The sequence below is a fragment of the Homo sapiens genome, chromosome 18 (genome assembly GCF_000001405.40).
Source record: "Homo sapiens chromosome 18, GRCh38.p14 Primary Assembly".
NCBI classification, from domain to species: domain Eukaryota; kingdom Metazoa; phylum Chordata; class Mammalia; order Primates; family Hominidae; genus Homo; species Homo sapiens.
In genome coordinates this window covers 79,098,893-79,125,351 of record NC_000018.10, presented here as the reverse complement: position 1 = coordinate 79,125,351, position 26,459 = coordinate 79,098,893, and the positions used below count along the sequence as shown (strand labels likewise).

General features: G+C 38.0%; 1 protein-coding gene across 31 annotated transcripts in view; it reads right to left on the bottom strand.

Annotated features, from left to right (window-relative positions):
• Positions 1–26,459, bottom strand: part of ATP9B (ATPase phospholipid transporting 9B (putative)) — a 308,890-nt gene that overhangs the window by 252,932 nt on the left and 29,499 nt on the right. For all 31 annotated transcript variants that reach the window (NR_148360.2, XM_017025726.2, XM_011525963.3 and 28 more), the window contains 2 exons: positions 14,847–14,997; positions 11,998–12,111 (listed from right to left, as the gene is read on the bottom strand). Coding sequence is in view for 30 of the 31 variants with exons in the window: in XM_017025726.2 (XP_016881215.1) it covers positions 11,998–12,111; positions 14,847–14,997 (265 nt within the window). In the remaining variant the exon portion in view is untranslated. The remainder of the gene's footprint in view (positions 1–11,997; positions 12,112–14,846; positions 14,998–26,459) is intronic.

Genomic DNA, 26,459 nt, shown 5'->3' with positions numbered 1-26,459 from the left:
ACATGGATTCTTCTAGTCTCTTTCCCATTCAAAATCAACCTGACAGCCTGTGTCTCTCACTCCTTTTCAGCCCCTCTGCCATCTCTCTTCAGCCATACTGTGTGCTCTCCCCCTAATCATGAGCCTCCCTCGGCCCTACAACCATCTCTCCCTGAGCACATCAAGTCTTCTCCTCCCTTAGTCTGCACTCTGCACCATCGGAAACCTTTTCATATCCAGTATACTTCTCCACTTGCCACAATTTCCTTCCACCACTTGACTAAAACTATTCTCAAGTAAGGCAGACCATCTCACGAAACTTCCCATTCCTCTGTGCATTCCAATTGTTCACCAGGCCCTCTTTCCAATTCCCCATCCCTTGGCTTCCTGGACACCACATTCTCCTGGCTGTCTTTCTGAAGCCATGCACCCCTCTTTATCCAGTCACCCCAAAGCTGGCCTCAGCCCACTGATGGCCTAATTCTCTACCCATCCCACTGCCATCATCTATAAGCAATACTATGGCTCCTTCCTCCAACTGCTAACTGTGCTTCCTTCCACACATCTCTCCAGCCTGACTGTACTCGGTGTGGCACCCCAGCCGGACGCAGGCTCTCCCCAGCTCTCCCAATGAAATACAGTGCTCTCCCCAAACCCCTAACCTTACGAATAGACAGATCTCTAGCCTTGTCCCCCACTCAATATTGCTGTATCCTTCAACACCAGGGAACTATGAGTAGTCTCCTGAAACACCATGATGTCTTTCTGATCTTTGCCAGTGTATTCCCAGGGGTTGTTGGAAGCACTGTTTTGAGAAGTATCCTAAAGCCACTCTTGGACTCAAGGAAAAAGAAGCCATGAACAATTTGTGATGTGCCCCATCTGCAAAGAAGGCAGGCATGGCACGGCATGTGCCATGTATTTGCCATGGTTTCCACTGAAGACACCAGCTGATGAGCAGAGTAAGACCTCACTTAGGTCCTTTAGCACACACTGTATTCTTTTTTTAGATAATAGCTTTGTTGATATATAATTCACATGCCATAAAATTAACACTATAAATGTATACAATTCGTTTTTTAGTACCTTCACAGAGTTGTACAACCGTCACCATCATCTAATTTTAGAAGATTTCCATCATCCCAAAATGAAGCACCATACCCATTCCCTCCCACTCCTAGGCCCTGGCAATGACTCATCCACTTTCTGTCTCTATGAGTTTGCCTATTCTGGGTGACATGGTAATTGTGTGTGTAGTATTTTGAGGAACTGCCAAACTGCTCCTCAAAGTGGCTGCACCACTTTACATTCCTGCCAGCAACTAATGAGGGTTCCAATGTCTCCACATCCTCACCAACACTTGTTACTGTCTGCCCTTTGTATTGCAGCCATCCTACTGGGTGTGAAGTAGTATCTCTGGTTTTAACTGGCATTCCTCTACTGACTAATGACGTTGAGCAACTTTTCACATGCTTATTGGCCATTTGTATATCTTCTTTGGGTAAATGTCTACTCAGATCCTTTACCTACCTTTTTCCTAGGTTTAGTTGTTGAGTTATAAAAGTTACTATTTTGGTGCCCGAGTTGAAAATCAATGTGTTATAAATTTAAAGGTTTATTTCTGGACTCTCAATTACACTGATCTATGCACCTATCTTTATGTCAGTACCATACTGTCTTGATCATGCAGTTTGTAATAAGTTTGGGAATGGGAAAGTGTGAGTTCTCCAACTTTGATCTACTTTTTTCTATGACGTATTAGCCACTCTGAGCCCTTTGCATTTTCATATGGATTTTAGGATCAATCTGTCAATTTCTGCAAAAACATTTAAAAACATAAAGAAAAAAAAAAAGCCAGCTAGGATACTGTTAGGAGTTGGATTAAATTTGTGTGTCAGTTTGGAGAGTGCTGCCATCTTAACAATATTAAGTCTTTCAACTCATGAACATGACTTTCCACTTATTTAGACCTTTCTTTTTTTTCAAAATTCTTTTATAGCTTTCATTATGTAATTTCATGCTTTAAGCTTATTCCTATAATTTTCTTTTTGATGAGATTATAAATGGAATTGTTATCCTAATTCCATTTTGGGATGGTCACTGCTAGAAATACAAGTGACTTTTGTATGTTCATCTTGTATCCTGCAACCCTGCTAATTCATTTTGTTTAGTTACAATGTTTTTGTGTGTAGATTCCCTAGGTTTTCCTATAAACAAGATCATGCCATCTGTGACTAGAGATAGACAGTCCTCTTTCTTTCCATCTAGATGCCTTTTACTTCATTTTCTTAACTAACTGCCCTATACAATGTTGAACAGAACTGGTGGGAGCAAACACCCTTGTTCCTAAGTTTAAGGGGAACACATTCAGTCTTTTATGATTAAGAGTGATGTCAGCTGTGTGAAGTACAAAATTTTAAGAACAGAAGAAATTTTTATATTATGATAAACGTCTCCATAATAGAGTGAAGAATATACAATAGGGAATGATGGCCAGTTTCTTCAAAGCTGGTAACAAGTTATGACAAAGCAGCAATGAAATAAAAGTGGTTATCAAAAAGCCTGTTAGAGACAAAGAAGAACTTGAATATAAATTCATCATTTTATTGAACTAGAGTTAGCAACAGAAAAACAAAGAAAATGAATATGAAAAGCCAAAGCAGCAGATATCCCCAAAAAAGTTCTAAGAAAGTTGGTGCTGTCAAAAGCCTTAAAATTTGCACATATTTAAACAAGCAGTTTCACTTCTAGAAACTTATCTTAAAGGAAAAATTATAGGATCACAGCATGAATATGAAAAATTAGAAATAACCTGAATGTCCACAAGTAAGAAATTCATAGCACAGTCATATGATGAAATGCTATATTTCCTTGATTCAAAGATGTCACTGGTTTTAAGATACGTCAGTATTATTTTAGTAGTAGTCTTGGGTGGGAAGACAATAGCATTGTAAATATACACATTTTATAAGCCACAGCTTAATTTTAGTAACATGAAAAATATGCATCTTTGAATCCAAGAAATATACTTGTCTGCAGCTATTCCCACGTAAGAGAAGACTTACTGCTACAGACTCATGTTCATGATGCAGAGGTAACTTCTTAAAAAAAGTTCTGTTTGTGACTCACTGAGATAAGAGAATGAAAGTGATTACCAAGCACATTTTATTTATATAGTATAGACAATATTTTAAAGGAGTGTTTTTTAATCAGGTAAGCATATCATAATCACCTGAAAAGATTTTTTGTAACATAAATTTGCTCAGACCCTACCTGAAATGTGTACTTTTACCTCTAATTTCCAGGGAAGAGACCTCAGACACATATGTTAAACTCTCCAGGTGACTCTAATTTTCACCCCTTTAAACTTATGGCTTAAAGACAGCAAAAGTTAACCAAATTCATTGAGTAATCATAAGCCACAAAAATGTGCTAGTTCCTAAGAACTCAAGGAAGTCAGTGAAATTAAGCTCCCACTTCAAATGAAGTAGTATTAGAGAAGACAGAATAAAGAGGGTTAGGTCCTAAGTCCTGAAAACAGGAGTTAAACACTCTTAAGAGGAAACAAGATCCTGGTCACAGGCAAGGACTATTAGACTGTCCAAGCTGTTTTACAACACACTTCCAAATCTGTTTCTCTGAATAAGTAACACATGTGTACGATTCTCAACACCCAAAAGATGTCACCACCATCACGTCCATCCCCTGCGTATCTATCCAAGGAAATGCCCAATGGCCAGCCTAGGAACATAAAAGACACTAAAGGAAAGGGAAGTTGAGGCCACTATTTCCTTCTACCACTGGAGTCTACAACAAATGAGCCTCTACCCGTAAGAGTTTAGATCTGAGTTCTTAAATGGATCATTACAGATTGGTGGTTTATGGAGGACTGGAGTAAGCAAGTCTTACTGTAGGAGCACTTGGATCTTCCCATTACCTCGGTACCAACAAGGTCAGAGATTTATGCTATAACACTGCTCCCTAGAAAAATCAAAACTGGAAGCAAGAAGGGCCATTTAAACTACTGTCATCCTGGAAACAGCAGTATTTGGGCACAAGTGTGTTACACAGACTGGACAACATGGACTTCTTCTCACGTGGCTTGTCCACAGCCTTTCTCCTATTTCTCCAGATAACCCAAGAACAATGCGGAGCTAGTCCAAAACAATATACATTTTTGTAAAAGGAGAAAAAGTTAGATGGGTACATTATTGATGTGCCTTTGAGGGCTTATCATGTGCCACACACTTTTCCAAGTATCCTAAATGAGTTACCCCTTTTAAATATCACAAAAATCCTACAAAGTATGTATCTTTACCTCTAATTTACAGATAAGGGAATTGAGACACAAAGTGAGTAAGTAACCTTACCAAGGCCACACAGATCACTAACAATGGTTGTCTCTGGATGATTCCAAGCAATTTCATTCGTTTTTCCTTTTCTTACTTTGCCCACACCTCTAATGCAGAGACACGCACACGAGAAAAGAGTGGATGAAGGGAAGATTTTTAAATAAGACTGAAAAATCAAAGTCCTCATAGATTGATTTCTCACCTACATAGCCTATCCGGTTACCAATTATTTATTAACAAAGTAGCAGAAGACATTTTATATAGAAGATACAGTGTTAAAAACTGTTAGAGCCAGAGCTTTCTTTATCTAAAGATCTTCTGCATAGACAGATCTATTCCATCTCGTTCATTTTGATAGAAGCATGACATTCTGTTTTGTTACTCTGATTACACAAGCTTTGCTTTAAAGAATTGTTCTGAAAGCTGAGTATGAAAAGTAATCTTCATCCAGACACAAAAATGTAATGAAATCAACTTATTTTCAATTTACACTTCTATTATATGGGAAGTATAACAGAAATTAGTTCAGACCTAAAGCTAATAAATAATATTACCAAAAGCAACTGAAAAAGAAATATTATTAATTAAGCTATCATTGTTTTCAAAAACATCTCAATTTTAATTAGAGAACAGAGGGAGTAAGTTTGAAGTAACTTGTTTTATTTAAAATTAGCGAACAACAGAAATAGGATTTTACAACCGACAACTGTAAAATGGTTTTATGCCTCAGAGGCAGGATTTTGGCTAGAAGAAATCTGGAAATGTTAACTGATATCTTTTTCTTGAGAACATTATAGAACCTTAGAGAACAAAAGATGGCAAAAAGAAGTCAATGTATGTATAAAGATGATGGTGTTGCTGGCACTGGATATAATGGGGTTAATATAAACTGGTATAGAAAATGCAAGAACTCAAGGGCTTATGAGGAATTCTTGTTGAAGAACATTTTCTTCAGTTAAAAAAGAGACACCTATACATATTTTCAAATTTGCATTATTTTAAATAGTTTCCTTTAAAGAGATTTCTTTAGATTTAGTGTATGTTTAATTATTCCTTAACTTTGTCTAATTATTCAAATTGTCTTGATTTTCAGCGTTTTTAAAAGCTTTTTAAAAGAATCAATATGCTCTCCTAAGCTTGCTTCTCAGATTTGAAGGTAAGCCTAAGGTGTACATCAACTTTTTAAGAGGTTTGCTCAATCAAAGGTTAAGATGCATATAAACAGAGAAAGCATACTATTCATCATTTGTTATCTGAAAGGTAGCATCAATTGTGGCTGCTGCCAAACCAAGGAACGAAAGAAAATCATTTAAAAAGTAAATCAATTCTCAGATCGAACAATATGATACTCAGGACACAAGAGAACTCATCTAGGTGCATCAGAAGGCAACGTCAAGCATTATTCAAATGGAAAAAGTGGCTTTTCACTTCTCTAAAATCTTAAAACGCAAATATAGTGGAATAACAGTATCTTTTATATGAATATTGAAGTAGTTGCTTATTGAGGTAATTATCTAAAAATAATTAAAGCTAATACATGTCAAAAAATGATAAAGTACTTCAAAATAACAGAGGATGAAAATTCAAGCTAAAGGACTAAAAATTGCAGCTGGAACTGGAAATGAACAATCATATGAAAAGAAAAAACAGAGAAACGTTTTCTCGTCTTGGTAAACAGACGTGTGTGTGCTTGTGTGCACACTTCACTCAAGTATGGCCAAGATCATCAATTTTGTGAACAAATCAAATAAAGTTCTTCAGAAAGAACCATCAAAAGGACATTTTCTTTGGTTGAAACCTAGTTAAATCAGAGTAAGTACAAAAGGCTGAAGCAAAATATATATAAATACATTTGCTTTACTTTATTAAGAAGAATTTGTGTTCTCAGACCATCATTGTTTAAGTTAAAACAGTTTTAACCCACAAGGCAATTTTTTTTTTTTTTTTTTTAAGACACGGTCTCGCTCTGTTACCCAGGCTTCAGTGCAGTGGCGCAATCATGGCTCACAACAATTTCTGTGTCCCAGGCTCAAGCAATCCTCCAACCTCAGCTTCCTGAGTAGCTGGGACTAAAGATATGTACCACCACACACAATTAATCTTTCTATTTTTTGGTAGAGATGGAATTTCACCATCTTACCCAGGTTGGTCTTGAACTCCTGAACTCAAGATATCCTGCCGCCTTGGCCTCCCAAAGTGCTGAGATTACTGGTACGAGCACCCAGCCGGGAAACGATACTTAAGCAGTAAATACAACTGTGAAAGCTATGAATAGAAAAAAAGGGGCTAGAAATAAATACATTAAAATCATAAATATAATTGGCCGGGCACGGTGGCTCACACCTGTAATCCCAGCACTTTGGGAGGCTGAGGCGGACGGATCACGAGGTCAGGAGATCGAGACCATCCTGGCCAACATGGTAAAACCCCATCTCTACTAAAAATACAAAAAATTAGCAGGGCATGGTGGCAGGTATCTGTAGTCCCAGCTACTTGGAAGGCTGAGGCAGGAGAATGGCATGAACCCGGGAGGCGGAGCTTGCAGTGAGCCGAGATCGCGCCACTGCACTCCAGCCTGGGCGACAGACCAAGACTCTGTCTCAAAAAAAAAAAAAAAAAAAAAAAAAAAACAAAAACGTTCAATATGATTGTGTTTTAAAATGAGCAAGTATTTTTCTCTGTGTTCTAAAGTTTCTATAATGCTATACTGCTTTTATTAGAAAATGAAAAAAATCAACAGCAGTTTTTAAATGAGACTTCTAGGAAGTACACAGCCTGTAGAATGTTTTGCACAAATGCATAAGCAATCGTTAACAATCACATTGTTCATTATAACAATGCTTATGAACAATCATATTGTTTAACAATATTTATAATGGTAAAAAATGAGAAACGACCCCAAAGTCTCCTTTCCCAAAGGAAGGGATGAATCAGTTGTGGTATATTTATACAATGAAACACTTTAGTGAAGTGAAAAATGAAGTAGATATATGTGTTGATATGGATCAATTTTATAAACAAATGTTAAGCCAAAAAAGTATGTTGCAATAGGCCACACAGATTAAGATAACCTTTATAAAAAATGTTAAAGCATACAAAATAATATTGCATATTGTTTTAATGATAAATATAAACACAGTAAAACTATTAAGAGATACATAGGAATTATAATCTCACATTCAGAATAGGTTACTGCTAATGTGGTGGAAGGTGGAGAAAAGAAAGGAGAAACAGTTATCTATACTCTCTTCCACGGTTACCTAGCTTCAACAACAACTTTCAAAATTCTGTTGTATACACTTCAGTGTTTCTTCTGTGTGTGAATACATGCAATATATACACAAACATACGGCTTCCTTTTTCACCCAGGATGAAATCTGAGAGCCCTGGAAGAGTTGACGCCAGGCCCTCTGACCTCCTTTCCAACTACTTCTTCCCACCCACACCCTCCTGGATGACCTCCTCCCACCCTGGAGCATGCTAAAACAGTCCAAGACCTTCTGCAATTACTCCTCTGCCTGCAACACTCTTCCCTGTTTCATATCTGACTGTTTTACCAGTAAGATGTCATTCCAATGTCACCTCACAGGAGAGGCCTTCCTTGACCATCCCATATAGAATAACCCTTTCATCCTCTACTCATTTTTCCTGCTTTATATTTTCTTCTTCATAGCCTGATGGATGGCTACGTGGCATTAGGAGTTTATATACTGCCTTTTCTCCCAGAATTTTAGTTCTATTAGAACAGGATTTGGTTTGTCTTGTTCACTGTTGTATCAACATTACCTAGACTATGGCTGGACATGAAGGAGCTCAATATTGATTGATCAAAAGAACTGTGGATTTCCTTCTATACATATTTTGAGCCACCTTTTAAAATTTATTCTAATACATACATAACTTTTATGTTATTAAACACTTTTCCTAAACACCATTTTTAAAGCTACACAGTATTCCAACAAGTACACAGGATATGGCAGTTTGAATAATCTATTGTTAGACATTCGACTTTTTAAAATATTTATAATGGACATTCTTTAGACTTTGTGATCAATCATTATTTCTTTTTTTTTTTTTTTTAATTTTTTTTTTTTTTTTATTATACTCTAAGTTTTAGGGTACATGTGCACATTGTGCAGGTTAGTTACATATGTATACATGTGCCATGCTGGTGCGCTGCACCCACTAACGTGTCATCTAGCATTAGGTATATCTCCCAATGCTATCCCTCCCCCCTCCCCCGACCCCACCACAGTCCCCAGAGTGTGATATTCCCCTTCCTGTGTCCATGTGATCTCATTGTTCAATTCCCACCTATGAGTGAGAATATGCGGTGTTTGGTTTTTTGTTCTTGCGATAGTTTACTGAGAATGATGGTTTCCAATTTCATCCATGTCCCTACAAAGGACATGAACTCATCATTTTTTATGGCTGCATAGTATTCCATGGTGTATATGTGCCACATTTTCTTAATCCAGTCTATCATTGTTGGACATTTGGGTTGGTTCCAAGTCTTTGCTATTGTGAATAGTGCCGCAATAAACATACGTGTGCATGTGTCTTTATAGCAGCATGATTTATAGTCCTTTGGGTATATACCCAGTAATGGGATGGCTGGGTCAAATGGTATTTCTAGTTCTAGATCCCTGAGGAATCGCCACACTGACTTCCACAATGGTTGAACTAGTTTACAGTCCCACCAACAGTGGAAAAGTGTTCCTATTTCTCCACATCCTCTCCAGCACCTGTTGTTTCCTGACTTTTTAATGATTGCCATTCTAACTGGTGTGAGATGATATCTCATAGTGGTTTTGATTTGCATTTCTCTGATGGCCAGTGATGATGAGCATTTCTTCATGTGTTTTTTGGCTGCATAAATGTCTTCTTTTGAGAAGTGTCTGTTCATGTCCTTCGCCCACTTTTTGATGGGGTTGTTTGTTTTTTTCTTGTAAATTTGTTTGAGTTCATTGTAGATTCTGGATATTAGCCCTTTGTCAGATGAGTAGGTTGCGAAAATTTTCTCCCATGTTGTAGGTTGCCTGTTCACTCTGATGGTAGTTTCTTTTGCTGTGCAGAAGCTCTTGAGTTTAATTAGATCCCATTTGTCAATTTTGGCTTTTGTTGCCATTGCTTTTGGTGTTTTGGACATGAAGTCCTTGCCCATGCCTATGTCCTGAATGGTATTGCCTAGGTTTTCTTCTAGGGTTTTTATGGTTTTAGGTCTAACGTTTAAATCTTTAATCCATCTTGAATTGATTTTTGTATAAGGTGTAAGGAAGGGATCCAGTTTCAGCTTTCTACATATGGCTAGCCAGTTTTCCCAGCACCATTTATTAAATAGGGAATCCTTTCCCCATTGCTTGTTTTTCTCAGGTTTGTCAAAGATCAGATAGTTGTAGATATGCGGCATTATTTCTGAGGGCTCTCTTCTGTTCCATTGATCTATATCTCTGTTTTGGTACCAGTACCATGCTGTTTTGGTTACTGTAGCCTTGTAGTATAGTTTGAAGTCAGGTAGTGTGATGCCTCCAGCTTTGTTCTTTTGGCTTAGGATTGATTTGGCGATGCAGACTCTTTTTTGGTTCCATATGAACTGTAAAGTAGTTTTTTCCAATTCTGTGAAGAAAGTCATTGGTAGCTTGATGGGGATGGCATTGAATCTGTAAATTACCTTGGGCAGTATGGCCATTTTCACGATATTGATTCTTCCTACCCATGAGCATGGAATGTTCTTCCATTTGTTTGTGTCCTCTTTTATTTCCTTGAGCAGTGGTTTGTAGTTCTCCTTGAAGAGGTCCTTCACATCCCTTGTAAGTTGGATTCCTAGGTATTTTATTCTCTTTGAAGCAATTGTGAATGGGAGTTCATTCATGATTTGGCTCTCTGTTTGTCTGTTGTTGGTGTATAAGAATGCTTGTGATTTTTGTACATTGATTTTGTATCCTGAGACTTTGCTGAAGTTGCTTATCAGCTTAAGGAGATTTTGGGCTGAGACGATGGGGTTTTCTAGATAAACAATCATGTCATCTGCAAACAGGGACAATTTGCAATCAGGCAGGAGAAGGAAATAAAGGGTATTCAATTAGGAAAAGAGGAAGTCAATCATTATTTCTTTAGGATAAATTCCTCAAGTAAAAATGCTGAATCTGGTTTTCAGGTCTTTGATATATATTACCAATGACCCTCCAAAAAGGCAACACAGGCATGCATGCACACTATGCACACTAATGGGGGAGCTCACGGCATCTATATTAATGGGATGAGCGCCACAGTGTTACAGTTTTACCCATGCTCAGCTCCAATGTCTCTTTCAATCTTACTAATTTAATAAGTTAAAAATGTATTCATTTATCTAGTAATTTCGTGTTTATATTACATATAAAGTTACTCATTCCTCAAATCCACCCTACTATGAAGTCTATGTGAAAGAGAAATCAAAAAATTTCCCTCAGCATGGCTTTACTAACAGGTAAACAGGAAAGCCTGACTGTGCCTCTCCAGGAAACAAGAATTTAGTCCACCTTCCAGTTCTCCTGCTTCATCTGGAGTTCTCTGGTTAGGGAGACGGAGCCTACCCAGGCCAGGACAGACCCCTCGGGAGCAGACTGCTCGGCTCGCCATGTGGAAGGCCACAACTCATGTGGAACCCCGAGGACTGCACTCTTCTTTCACTGAAGGAACCCTTTCACTCTCTGTGTTTCCTACCTAGATTCCTCGGGTCATCTGCCCAAAAGGGAGCAAATCAAAAAAAAGGAAGTAGTGGCCAGGCGCAGTGGCTCACGCCTGTAATCCCAGCACTTTGGGAGGCTGAGGCAGGTGGATCATTTGAGGTGAGGAGTTCGAGACCAGCCTAGCCAACATGGTGAAACGCCGTCTCTACTAAAACCACAAAATTAGCCAGGTGTGCCTGTAATCCTAGCTACTCAGGAGGCTGAGGTAGGAGAACTGCTTGCACCCGGGAGGCGGAGGTTGCAGTGGGCCGAGATTGTGCCACTACACTCCAGTGACAGGGTGAGACTCTATCTCCAAAAATAAAAAATAAAAATAAAGGAAGTAGTAAGTACATTTTTCTATGAAAGGAGGAAAGACGATGTACATCTTGTCTCTACAAGCTAAAAATTAATGAAAACTCTCAGCCAACAGCTTAAGACTATCAAGACAGCATATATTTGAAATGGAAACATTCATTGATAAGCATCATTGCATCACTGGCCTTTTGAAAAACTTTATACACTGAGATATCAACCAGAAATCATACGTACTGCACTTGGATACTTCAGAATGCTCACCATGGTCAGGGTGTGAAGAGAGTAACAGAACAGACCCACAGCCCCAGCCCCCATTCCCAACAGCTGCATCAAACAGGAGGGAGCTGCTGATGACCTGCAACCTTAACACAGGTGCAGAATGACCAAGGAAAACCCCTCTGCTGCCAGCTCAGGCACTTTGTAACTTTGGCAGCTCTACAGGCAGGTGCTGCCACCATACTTCCCATGGTTCTCAGAGGGACTGAAATCACTCAGCAAAATCTTTTAACAGAAGTTCAGTGAACACTACAACACCATGTTTTAAAAATCTGGTCAATTTAACTTTTAACCATCTCAACTCTTAAAACTATATTCTAAATATTTCATAATTTAACTTAATTTTTAAAGTCTTTTCTTACCAGAGGAGCCCAGTAGGTGTAGAGATAGCCTATTTTCAATGCTGGTACAAACTGTGAGCAGGATATTACTAGAAAATAGAGATTCAAGAAAAACTTGAATTGTTCATACAAAACCTAAAAAGGAAAAGAGAAAATTAACAAAATTCCTTCAAGGAAAAAATTTTAATACCTAAATTAAACAATTAAAATCTGCACAACATATAACCACATTTCCATCAAACAGTGAGAATATGTTGTGATTCAAAGTAAATGTATTAATTTTCACATTGGCTTTCTAATAGCTGTATCACAAAGAAAGGTAAGGTTACTCCCAAAATATATTTTAAATAAACTGAAAATAAGACAATTAGGACGTTCAATTGTTAAAAATGTCATCTAAAAGTTTTTTTATTTTTCTTATATGAAATTTTCCAGTTTTCCATACTCATTTAGTAAGTCTTTACATGAACATGAAAAAAAGTTAGATAGCAAAACCTTCCCAATGTTAGCAAGCCAGTAAATATACAGGTGTATCTTGATAATGACTCAGAAAATCTTACAATGGAAAAGTCATATTAACCTTATATTTATGAAATGGTAAAAAACAAATAAATAGCCACTTTTTTTTTTTAACACGGACATCCAGGTAGCTTTACAAAGACTGAATGAACAAGCCAAACGTGAACAGGTGTAACTTCACGAGATAGACTGCCTTAATCTCTTGTGGGTATTTACTTCCCTCAAAACATTAAAAATGATAAAATATAAGAAGTTGTAATTGCAGACCAGTTTTCAAGAAGACAGCTACCCAGCTACTCTTATGGTCTTTGGGTAGTTAATTCTTAATAATATTTTCAAATATAAAAGAAATTTCATCATTCAATAAAATTTTAGGAATGTCAATACTGAAAGGTTTTGGTTTTGGTTTTCACTTTAAATAGTTATCTTTAGAGAAGAAAACCCAAGATCTAACATATTAATAGATCTCAATTTACAAACGCCTCTAATTATTAGATTTACATTGAAAATCAAAATGGAACAAAACTTACGTTTACAGATGAGAATAATTCAAACAGCACACTACAATTAAATCAAACTTGCAAACCTGCAACTTACAAATCACAATCTCTTTGGATGCCATTTCCATGCCACTTAGAAGGTATGAAAATTTCACCAAGCAGGGCAATGGGTTAAGTGCTTATTGCTCAACTAGAGAGTCTGCAACTTGTTTTCAGAAAATGAGGTTATCTGCATCATCATACGGCAATGTGTGGGACTCAAAATCAGTTACACTGACAATATATTTATGTTCATAATCACGTTCAACCTGCTGTCTAAGAATGTTTTGAATTATTTCATAAATTAATCTCAGCAGGAAATAAAGTGCTTTTTCCTTAGTGATTTCTTTAAAATCTCAGCATAAATTATATCTATTAGCAACTTAGAAATTGCCATTCGTGGTAAAAATGACATAGAACTCCTACTGGGTAATTACCAAATGTTTCTAAAATACTACATTTTAGATGAAAAGACTAATTTCAGAGACGATCTAAGATAAAAAACTCATACACATGGTAATCATCATACAGTCACATCCACAGGTATTTTCAGCATGCGGCCAATCTGGGCAGGCTGTGTGGACTTACACTGATCAAAGTTAAGCTGCACTGCTGGCTTTAAACGACTGCAATCAATACTCTACAGTCTACTGACTGAACCTGCTGACCTTTAGGAAAACGTACACTGCTTAGCCAATCTCTGAGATCTGTGAGTATTTAATAATTTAAACCTAAGCAGAAAACAGTGGCTTCATTCAATAAAGATGCGAATATTTATCTGCCTGTAAGACAGTTTACATTTTATTATCCTGACAAAAGGTCTGTCTTTTAATTATGAAGCCATTAGTTTTGTGGGTTTTAATAAAGAAGTGCATTAGATATCAAGTATTTGCCAATCACTAGGTGGATGGGGATGAGGTGGGGGTGGGAGTAAAATCAATGCCAAATACAATGTCAGCATGATTATTTAAATTAAATATACAAGATAAAGCAACCCACATTCCATGTAATCAAGAGCTTTTCTTGCAAATAAAAGACATAAAACATGCCAAAAACTTTGATATAGAAATATAATCAATACCAGCTTCCTTTTCCTTTAGAAAGATAAATAAATCTATTAAAATAAGGAATGACATACAAAACACAAAAATTATTCAACTATTCTAATTGTATATGAACTGTTTTATAATTTAAGCCAGTAATATCACTAGCAACAAAAGTAATAAAATATTTAAACTACAGTATTTAAATTTAGCAATAATACCCAATTAAAGATAACTAACGATATAACAATATAAGAAGGTCTGAGATTTATAATGTGAAGTAGCAAAGACATCTATATATAAATATGCATATTACAGATACTTTGTTACTGTATCATTTCAGTATAAAAAATTGTTTCATTTTCTTTGCGAAATCTCTTGGCAGGGTTTAAACATTACATTTACTGTTTTCTCCAAACTAGTTCCCAGACAAACAAAACGTATAACTTGTTTTCTGTTAATTTTATTTACTTTTACTTCATTATGTCTATATTTCTAAAATAATATAAATATGATGTTTATCAAGAACTGAAGGCAATAATCAAATTGTACATTTTCTTGAGCTGAACTCTATGATGTAGCCATTAAAAATACATATGAATTATTTAGCGATTATTGGGAACACAGATGGTTCAAAAGCAAAAGGACACTGATTTGGATGTGACACAACTCAATACCTAAGTCAGAGTCTCAACAGGCTCCATCCTATAGCAAAGGAAGCCAGCAATCTCTGACACACAACCCATCTCCAAGAATGCAATAGTCTTACCCCAGGTATAAAGGTAAACACATTGTATTTTTGATTTTTTATAGAATTCCTGGGATGTTTTTCTTCACACTTTTCAGGACATCCAAGCCATACTGTGCGAGCTTTCAGCTCTTTCTTTCTTCGACAAATATTTATCAGCCAACCACAGCAACTGTATGAAACAAAAGATACGTATTGTGTATTTTTTTTTGCTTTTTAAAAAAGTTCAAACTAATTGTACATATTTAGAGTCAATATTGATTGTTTCTGTATTCACCACACACTAATAGCACACCTAATGCTAATTTGTGGGGTTTTTCTTATAATAGGTTGGTTACACAAATTTAAATTTGACATAAAATACAAAGTCTTATATAAATGTACCCCAGGGGAATTATCTTTCTGTTTAGACACTCTTATTGGCAAAATAAAACCATTAATATTCTGAAGCAGTCAATGCTCTATATGTCGAGAAAAGGTATAGCTATAGCTATAGGTTACCTACTGGTAATTCCCAATACACTTTTCAATGATAAAGGTCCTTGGATTTCAATTAATCCAGGATGTGGCTCATTCTCTGAAGTAATAATCACTTTTTCCACTCTTAAAAAATGACTTTTCCAGTAGTATTAACTAATGCAATATTAAGACTTACAGCTCAGGCCAGGCGTGGTGGCTCACATCGGTAATCCCAGCACTTTGGGAGGCCGAGGCAGGCGGATCACCTGAGGTTAGGAGTTCAAGACCAGCCTGGCCAATGTGGTAAAACCCCGTCTCTACTAAAAATACAAAAATTAGCCAGCCATGGTGGCAGGCACCTGTAATCCCAGCTACTCAGGAGGCTGAGGCAGGAGAATAGCTTGAACCCGGGAGGCAGAGATTGCAGTGAGCCAAGACAATGCCACTGCACTTCAGCCTGGGCGAAAGAGTGAGTCTCCATCTTAAAAAAAAAAAAAAAAAAAGACAGCTCAATCCAATATTTAAAGAGGATACAAATGTTTCCTGTGATATTCTAATGATAATAAAAGCTTGACTGTATTTCCACATAGCTCTCTTCATCTATGCAGTAAATATTTTAATTTTACATTTACCCTGTTCCAATAGTGTCTGGGTTTCAGGAGCACAACTCTTCCCCTTCTTGGTCATCCAAACCATTATTTTGGGGTAGACAGTATAGAGTTTCTAAAAATACCTCAGAAAATGATGAAAAGGTATCAAATTCATCTCTTTTAAGCACAAAATAATCATGAATTTAAACTTCAGTATTAAAATTTTGGTTTAATTTAAATTTTCAAAATGTAGAGAAAGACTCAGAATGGCTTACTAAAGGAAGTTGTTAAATCTCACCTTCTAATTGTATTCAAGGCTAGAATAGAAAGCCTGCCGTATAAGTCAAATATTCTTCATGTTTGTGACAAAGGAAGCTTAAAAGTTAACAAAAAGTTTTGCATGAAAATGACAGCATAAGGCTGATTACAAAATGAGGCTGACACATCAGAGCTCCATCTCAGAATTGCTGTCTCCCATGCTGGAGTGCCACACCCTTACTATATAATCGTAATGCTCTCCTGCTTTAGAAATCACTTTACAAATACTGAAAACTTGCAGGTTTCAGTATTTGAATTTATGAATTTGAATATATGAAGTAAACTTCATAAATCTCCCATAGTAGCATTCCTTATGAGGGCATGTGTGTGTGTCTCAACTGAAGTTGGTACTATCCCTATGAATATCCACTTAATTCTCAGCTGTGCTGGGAAGATCCTCACACTGAAAGGTCAGAGGTTGGTTCTGTGGAGGCTGCCCATCCCTAACAGGGACTGTTCCAGCACGTGAAGGACTGCCAAGCACTGCTCCCTTAAGCAGTGCTCGCTCACGGGGCTGATGCTCTGCCACGGGGATAGCCAAGCAAGCCAGCTCCCCCCACCCTTATTCTAGAACTTCTACCGCAGCACACAAAGACTGAGCTTTGCAAGAGTGGAACATCTTAGCACTGCCATCAGCACTTTTGAAACAATAAACCCAAACACCTCCAAACTGAAAGCATACTTTCAAGTCCACAACAGTTATAAATCAGGGTGGTATTAAAGTGATTTAAGATTGTCAAAACAAGTATGTTCACCATTAATATTTTTGGTAGGGTAGGAAAGGAAATGGTCAAGTAGATTTCAATAAAATGCTGATAATATTTTATCTGTTTATGCTTGAATGAAAGAAAAATTAAATAAGGCTTCAAATAAAATAGAGTAAGCTTTCAATGACTATTTCTCTCACCTTACCTCTTGCTTGTACTGTCCATCTCGAACACTCTCACATGCCTCCTTCCCTCCAGCATCCCTGCTGTGGTGCCATGCAGACTGCGACTGCTCTGTGCTCTCTTCTACTCTGAGTCGCCTTCCCCCATGGCAGGGGCTCATGGGCACTCCTTCCCCAACTCCTCCCACCAACAGCAGCTATAAATCATCACTCTTTTATCTGGTGACAGCACACACTCCTAGTGCCAGGAAAATCCTAGTTATGTTACCTAAGAATTACCATCTCAGACAACTGCAACTACACTATACTGATGCCGAACTCCCACATCACATAGACAAGAAAACTGGAGGTCCCACAGGCAAGTGACTTCTCTAAGACTAAACCACTAGGCAATGGCAGAGTTGAAACGAGAGCCTGGATCTCAACCTCCCGCCACATCAGTATCATGTCCATTCACTGAGCTGACAACAGGCAGAGGCCAGCTCTTGCTCAAGTTCATGCACCGCCTTTCCTCAGCCCAGGCATGGCACCACAGCCATTCAAGAGATGATGGGAAAAAAATGAATCACTTGTGAGCAGGCAACAAAACACAATGGAAAAACATGGATTTTAAAGTCATGTTTTGGAGACAATCACCAGCAAGTGACCCTATGGAAGCTCCTTGGTCTGAGTCTCTGTTCACTCATCTGCAAAGCACTGACAAGAGTGGAGTCTACACACTACGAAGGCTCAGCACAATGCCGCCCACGGAGGAAGCCCCCGAGGCCTCGGTCTTCACTCTCCTGCCTCCCAACATCCCACTCAAAAGGTCACCCTCCTCCCAACAGTAGCTTGGGCACAAAGAGTACCCAGGCCTGGACCGTCCAAATGAGCATCCATCGGCCCCATGTGGCAACTTTCATTTCAATTAATTAAAATTAAATAAAACTTACCATCCAGTTCCTCAGTCACATCAGCCACATCTCAAGAGCTCAGTGGGCACCCTGGCTAGTGGCTACCATAATGGACATCCCAGATGGAGAATATTCCATTACTACAGTGAGTTCTACTGGACAGCAGTGGCATCAACAGAGCACATTGCAAGCTGGGCCACAGGTGCAAGACAGGCTTCATATGAGCACATTTCTCTTCAGCATTTCAAATAGAGCAAAATTCTTCAGGAACGGACTCAGATATGAATTTTTGCTCTAAGACACATAATTATCTACTCTGATGTTCTAGTATACAAAAGTCAGACAAATTCAAAATGAAAAATCAAATATTAAGATCTAAGTATTTGAAAAGATACATATAAAATTTAGAAAATATAAGCTTTATAGCATTATCTGATATTAACATGTTCTTCCAGACAAACGACACTATAAACGCAAGACCACTGTCTGCATAACATGAGCACTGTAAACAGCAGCACAACAGAAACCTTAACGTCACCATCACTGTCAGCAACTACATGAACTAATGCCTCACTGACATCACTCTCACTCGAGAAACTCTAAATTCAATGCCCACTGCTAAAAACATAAATATTCAACATTTTACTCAGTTTTTTCCTCTATAACCCTGTACCAGTAAATCTAAGATGCCTAGACTTTGATGATATAAATTATGTTATTTGTATCACTGTGCTACTAATAATTTTATTGTGTACAGACAGAATAAAGTAGTGGTTAAGACGCCACTATCATATCATGTGCTACTATACAAAACTGAATGAATACACTCGCAACAGGCATGAGGTGTGAAAGGCCTGCAGGTGCACCAGAACTGCCCCTGGATCATGCAGCCAGAAACCACTATACAGGGGAGTCAGGCGACTTCCATGCTAGCAGTAAAAGGCATGAGCCCCAAGGATACATAAACACTGTAACGAAAACAGTATGTTTAAGCCTCACTGAGTAGTAGAGCTAAAAAGGAAAATGAAATATGGGGAATTTTTGAGGACAAAAATGTGAGGAAAGCATACTGGCAAATATTGCACAACGAGGGAGAAGCAAACAGAAGTCCTTGGGAGACAGTAACTAGGAGCTTTACTCAATAGCATTTCTATGTACGCGAAATAGTTTCTAAATTATTGATTATTCAGGAACACTTTCCCCCTTATATTTAAATTGCCTTACATCATCAAGTCCAGCTGAAACTATATCCAGCAGTGTACAAGTTATACTTTTTCTTAAAATGTTTTAGGATTAGTAGCTTTTCACAAAATGCCTCTATAATCAAATCATAACATTAAACAAAGCATATTAACACATCAAGAGCCTATCTTCTAAAATGTTAACTAGTCATAGTTAAATAATTCCCACAGATTTAGCCTCCTTTCTCTCCACCCCCCAAAAATTAGACAATTATTACATCCAATAGATACCTATGGTCACCAATTTAAAAGCAACACAATGCTGATGTCTTCTTAAAAGATGAGCACATTCGCCCATGCTTCTGTGCCCTCAACGTCTGCCGATTAGTTGAGGACATTAGAACTAGGAATAATCCCAGCATTTGATACCTCCCCTCCCCTCTTATGGAAATGCCATTCACTGGCTCCACTTTCCTAAGGACAAAGTGATTTTTGATAACAAGTGAAATGTAAATCTCGTGAGAAAGACATTAACCCAGATCAGAGAACTATCAATATGACTCACAACCGCTTACAGAAAGGTGTATTCACTCACATGAAAAAGATTCAAAGTTTTAAAAGACAGATACCAGAACAATTTTTTCAAAGTGTCCAAGTTGGGATTTTTGTCAAATAAAAATGAGAAAGCAGGTCTCAAGCCATGAAGAAATTAAAGCCTACTCGCTCAGTCTTTTAATAATAATTTTAAAATGATCCTTACTACTTACAGGATCTACAAATAGAAATACACTTAAATATTTACAACTCATTAATAATAGTTACAATCTACCTGTATTGCAAGATTCCAAACATTTTCCTCCTGCAGTTAAACTAACTGTATAAATCTATTCTTTGAGCCACCAAATAATGTTAGTAACAGTGAATTTTATAATGCCTGGTATTTGGGAAATTAAAAAGTAGCAAACATTCACAACTGAAAATTTATAAGAAACAAAGAAGACCAATCTACTTGCTAAATGTATAGTTTGGTTCTCTAACGTGCAGGGTTTAATTTCCATAATGATTTCTCAGTGTAGCAGGTATCTCCTGAATAAGAACAGCATGACAATACCTCAGGTCGCTTCTCATCCCATATGGCAGTAGGACATTCCTTAGTGCCAATATAGACTGATTACAGCCTGCCAAGATGGCTCAGCTAGCTTTTTCCACATGATCACAATTTATTAAAATAAAGACTTTCAGCCTAGACAACATAGAAAGACCCTGCCTCTATAAAAATAAAAAAATTAGCCGGGTGTGGTGGCACATGACTGTAGTCCCAGCTACTTGGGAGGCTGTGGTGAAAGAATTGCTTGAGCCCTGGAGGTCAAGGCTGCTGTGGGCCATAATGGCACCACTGCACTCCAGCCTGGGCAAGAGAGTGCCTGTCTCAAAAAGAAAAAAAAAAAGATAAAGACTTCCTAGACAAATCTAGGATATTTTACTAAGCTGTTTTAACTCCCGCAAACACGGGTGTTTTTGCTGCTACCATCTATATTTTCAAGTATATTCTTAATATTTTCCTTAAGAAAAGGAGTATATTATAAGTAAAACCTAAAATTTGGCTGTTACATTTCACTTGGTAAAAACAAAATCATGTGAAAAACCAGAAAAATTAGTTCAATAATCTATTTAACACTATGATGAGACTGAGAACATTCTAAAGTCCGCAATTCTTGTTAACTACCTGACTAGTACAGTGCTGGTATGCTACTGTTACTATATGGCCAAATAAGTATCACTTCCACAACACACAGGGTCTGTGAAGAGTCCCCACCATGAACACTGCATTGCCCATGTCCCCAGCACTGCACCCATCAGTGCCCAGTTCCCACTTCCTCTATGAACATCCTGCAGTCTCCCCCAATACCCAGTGATTTTCCACACACACAAAAAATCACCTAACGGCCTGGACACAGATCCTCAACCTTCTCAACCCAATGATCTCCATGGTGATGTACCTCTAGGATGGGGAGACCAGGCATTTGCCACAGAGCTATTCCACTTCAAAGACAGCAAATCAGGGTCTTCTTCGGGCCACGCGTCCTTATCCTAGCAAAGTTCCCAGTCCAGGGTGCAAAAAGGAAGGGCTTTAGGTCACCAGGTCAGGACCTGGTTCAATTTCTGGGCTGGCTCTTAGCTGTCACAAAAGGGACTCTTCCGGTTCTTGGCTGTAAATAGTGGTGAGAACACCCATCTTCTTTAAGAAGGGACCATATGGACCACAGAAGAAAAGCACTTAGCCTAAGCAAATTGGTAGCAGTCAACTCTCTGCCCCTACAAACTCATCAATTCACAACGTCGTGGGGGCCTACCTCACCACAACTCCCCACACCACACTTCCTCAGCCAGCTCTGTCATCACCCAGGCTCTTCCCTGATGGACTCATCACCATAAATTTATGCCAAGTTCAATACAAATTATTATTGATTTTCCTTTGCTGATTATTGATGATCTCTACCAAAGCGTGACCAAATTTTCCCATTTTTTTCAGCCCTCGTCTGAATCCTAATCATATCCTTACTTAATTGACCTGATGTTCCCAATTGAGAATAGAAGTCACAGTCACCACCACTATTTCATTCTTCCTCCCCTAGTTTTCCTCATGCCAAAGAGGATGGATACTATTCTTCCTTTCCAATACATCCTCTTTCCAAAGGTGTCACCTCCTTATTCTTCACAGAGGTATACCACATGTCTCCCAACCTTTTCAAGAACATCATCCTTCTGTGTGGCTTCCACGATCACCACAATGATAAGGACTCTGCAACTTACATCTCCAGAGCCTGTTTCTGGGTCTGACAAAACTATGTATTAGACCACTTCTCCTGCCAATGCTTTGTTTTGTTTCTTAATACAAGATAGATTTCTTAAAAAAAAAAAAAAAAAACTACAAATAGTTATTTGGTTTAGTTAAGTAATATCTTTAAAAAACCCACAGTCCATATCTGCTTAATGCTGCAATACTGTCAGCTCCCACCTGGGAAAGAACAAGGTGACGGTGACCCTTCTCGCTACTGCACAATGCTGTACGTTCCAGCCAGCTCCACAAGGCAAGGCACACAGACCATAACGGAAGAAGTAATACCACTGCTATCTGCAGATGGCATGACTGTCTTTATAGATTACAAGGAATCTACAAAACCACTCTTAGCACCAGTGAGTTCAGCAAGGTTATAGGATAAAGGATCTAACATACAAAATCAACTGTATTTCTACACACTAGCAAAGAAAATGTGGAATCCAAAATTTAAAATACCAAACCATTTACGATCACTCCAAAAAGTTAAACACTTAGGAGTAAATCTAATGTTTGCATGCTGAAAACTACAAAACGCTAGTGAAAGAGATCAAATTATCTTCAAATAAAACGGAGCAAAAGGTACCATGTTCATGATCTAGAAGACTCAACATAGGAAACATGTCAATCCCCCCCAAACTAATAAAATATATAGGTTCAACACAAGTCCTATCAAAATCCTAGTAAGGATTTTGTAGATATGAACAAGATTATTCTAAAATTTCTAAGTGAAGGCAAAGGAACTAGAATAACTTAAAGATTTCTGAAAAAAGTAAGAAGAATTAGCCTACCCATGTTAAGATTTTCTATAAAGCCACAGTACAGCACACTGTGTGGTACTGGCAGGAACTGACACACTGATGAGATGGAGAAGAGAACAGAACCAAGGCCACAGACAGCTCCGCTCATGTACAATCAAGTGGTATTAGAATATTTGGATACGCACTGGCTAAAAAATGAACTTCAACCTAAACCTCTCACCTCACCAAAAAAATTTTTTTAAATATTCAAATGTAAAGCTATAAAATGCATGCAAGAACATCTTCAACAAAGAGTTCTGTGAAATTCTTAGATGCGACACCAAAAGCACAATTCACAAAAGTAACAAAAGCAATAATTCAGACCTCACCAAAATTAAAAACACTGGATCCAGTGAAGTCTCTCTGAATCTCAACGGATGGAAAGACAAGATACAGACTGGCAACATGGTGAAACTTTGTCTCTACCAAAATACACAAAAAAAACTTAGCCGGGCATGATGGTGGGCACCTGTAGTCCCAGCTACTCGAAAGGCTGAGGCAGGAGAATGGCTTGGACCCAGGAGGCGGAAGTTGCAGTGAGCCAAGATCGAGCCACTGCACTCCAGCCTGGGTGACAGAGCGAGACTCCGTCTCAAAAAAAAGAAAAAAAATAAAATAAAAAGGAAAGAAAGAAAATATGTCCAACTACATGTCTGACAGAGGACCCATAGTTAGAATATGTAAAGAACTCTCCAAATTCAACAAGAAAAAAATAATAAACAACACAAGTAGAAATTAAAGATGGAAAAACATTTACTTATGAGAGTACACAAATGGCAAAAAGATGTCCAACCTCCCTAGCATTAAGAAAATGGGAATGAAAAACACAATGAACCATCACTCCATATCTACTAGAACAGCTACAATCAACAACAGTGACAATAAACTGGATCTCTCAAACACTGCTAGTGCAAATGTAAAATGGTACAGCAACTCTGGGAAATATTTTGGCAGTTTCTTAAAAAGCTAAATATACACTTACCATACAACCCAGCAATGAAGTTTCTGGACATTTATTCCAGAGAAATGAAAACTTCTGTCCACACACATCCACACACACAAATGTACACAATTGTTCATGGCAGCCTTATTTCTAATATCCAAAAACTTGACACAACCTACACAACAGCTTGGATGGCTCTCACAGCATTATGTTGAATGAAATAGGCCAACCTCAAAAAACAAATCACATAATACAGATATCACTACAATATGGAAAAAAAATAGAACAATTTTTAAGTATCACATATTGAGTAATTTCAGTTATGTAACATTCTTGATATTAAAACGAGATGCAGAACTGATGAGTGGTTTCCAAGGCCAGGGCTCAGAGGGACAGGAGTGGCTGTGGCACAGGAAGCTCCCTGTGGGGTTGGAATGGTTCTGCATCTTGGCTGCAGTGGTGATTACAAAATCAACACCTGATGAAATCACCGAGAACTGCACACACACACTGTGCCAAGGTAAGTGTCCTGGTTTCATATTATAGTTACATAAGATGTAACAACTGGGGTAAACTGGGTCAAAAATACAAGAAACCTGATATGGTTTGGCTGTGTCCCCACCCAAATCTCATCTTGCATTTAACTCCCACAATTCCCACCTGTTGTGGGAGGTGATTGAGTTATGGGGGTGGGACTTTCCTGGGCTGTTCTCCTGATAGTGAATGAGTCTCACGAGATCTGATGATTTTAAAAACAGGAGTTTTTCTGCACAAGCTCTCTTTGCCTGCTGCCACCCACATAAGATGTGACTTGTTCCTCCTTGCCTTCTGCCATAATTGTGAGGCCTCCCCAGCCATGTGGAACTACTGTGAGTCTAACTGAACCTCTTTCTTTTGTAAATTGCCCAGTCTCGGGTATGTCTTTATTAGCAGTGTGAAAATGAACTAATACAGGACCCCTCTATACTATTTTTGCAATTCCTGTAGCTAATTATTTCCAAATTCAAAATTTTTAAAAATTTTTTTAAAAAGTAAAAGAATGACAATATATACCATGCAAACATTAATCAAAAAAGCTGGTATAGTTTTATTGAAATTAGACAAGTCTTCACAAAGTATATTTAAAGATAAAAGAGGAACAATTAAAGACAATAAAAGGTCAACTGAAAAGGTTAATAATCCTAAATGTCCATCATCTAATAACACACTCCAAAATTAACCAAAAGAAAGACACATCCACAATGATGTTTAGAAACTCATGAAGTCTCTCAGTAACTGACAAACAAGCAAACCATGAACAGCAACACAGATTTGAACTAGACAACCAACAACTATGACTTCACTGACATACAGAGCAGTGCACTTAACAACTGAAAAATACAAATTATTTTCAAATACACAAAGAAAATTTGCTACAAGTTGTCTATATGATGAACCATAAAGCGAGTCTCAACACATTACAAACACTGAAATTTTTATTTTATTTTTTGAGACAGAGTCTCACTCTGTTGCCAGGCTGGAGTGCAGTGGCATGATCTCGGCTCACTGCAACCGCCGCCTCCTGGGTTCAAGTGATTCTCCTGTGCCTCAGCCTCCCGCATAGCTGGGGCTACAGGTGCACACCACCATGCCCAGCTAATTTTTGTACTTTTAGTAGAGACAGGGTTTCACTGTGTTGGCCAGGATGGTCTCAATCTCTTGACCTCGTGATCCACCTGCCTCAGCCTCCCAAAGTGCTGGGATTACAGGCGTGAGCCACTGCACCTGGCCCATTTTTTAAAATTATAAGTATATTCAATGGCCTCATGAAATTCAGATACAAATCAATTACAAAAAAATAACTGCAAAAAACAGGTTGGGCATGGTGACTCATGCCTGTAATCCCAGCACTTTGGGAGGCTGAGGTGGATCACTTAAGCTCAGGAGTTCAAGACCAGCCTGGGCAACATAGCAAGACCTGGTCTCTATTTAAAATGATAATAATTATAAAAAGTTAACTAGGAAAAATCTCTAACTTTGGAAATCAAGCAACATAGTTATAAATCAAACATGGATTTAGATTAGAAATGACAATGGAAATTAGAAAATATTTGGGCCCAGGGACGGTGGCTCACGCCTGTAATTCCAACACTAAGGGAAGCCAAGGCAGGCAGATCACTTGAGGTCAGGAGTTTGAGACCAGCTTGCCAACTTGGCAAAACCCCATCTCTACTAAAAATACAAAAATTAGCCGGGGATGCTGGTGCACATCTGTAGTCCCAGCTACTCAGGAGGCTGAGGAAGGAGAATCGCTTGAACCCAGAAGGCGGAGGTTGAGGTGAGCTGACATCACACCACTGCACTCCAGCCTGGCAACAAAGCAAGACTCCGTCTCAAGAAAAGAAAAGAAAGAAAAAAGAAAAGAAAAGAAAAAAGAAATAGATTTTGAACTTAATGATAATACCTGTCAAAACTTAAATGCACCTATTTTTAGAAAGGAAAAAGGAAGAATATTGGAGACCTGAGCATTCATCTTATGAAGCTAGAAAAAGAAAAGCGAGTTAAAGTCAAACAAAATAAGAGAGAAAATAAAGGGAAGACCAGAAATCAATCAAACAGGAATCAAACACCCTGAGAAGGCCATAGCATCACTTACACAGTATTCCACAGAGGGTGCTTAAGCTGAGTTTAACTTCGAGGAAACACAAACAAAACAGAATGTGAAACATTCTGTATAATAACT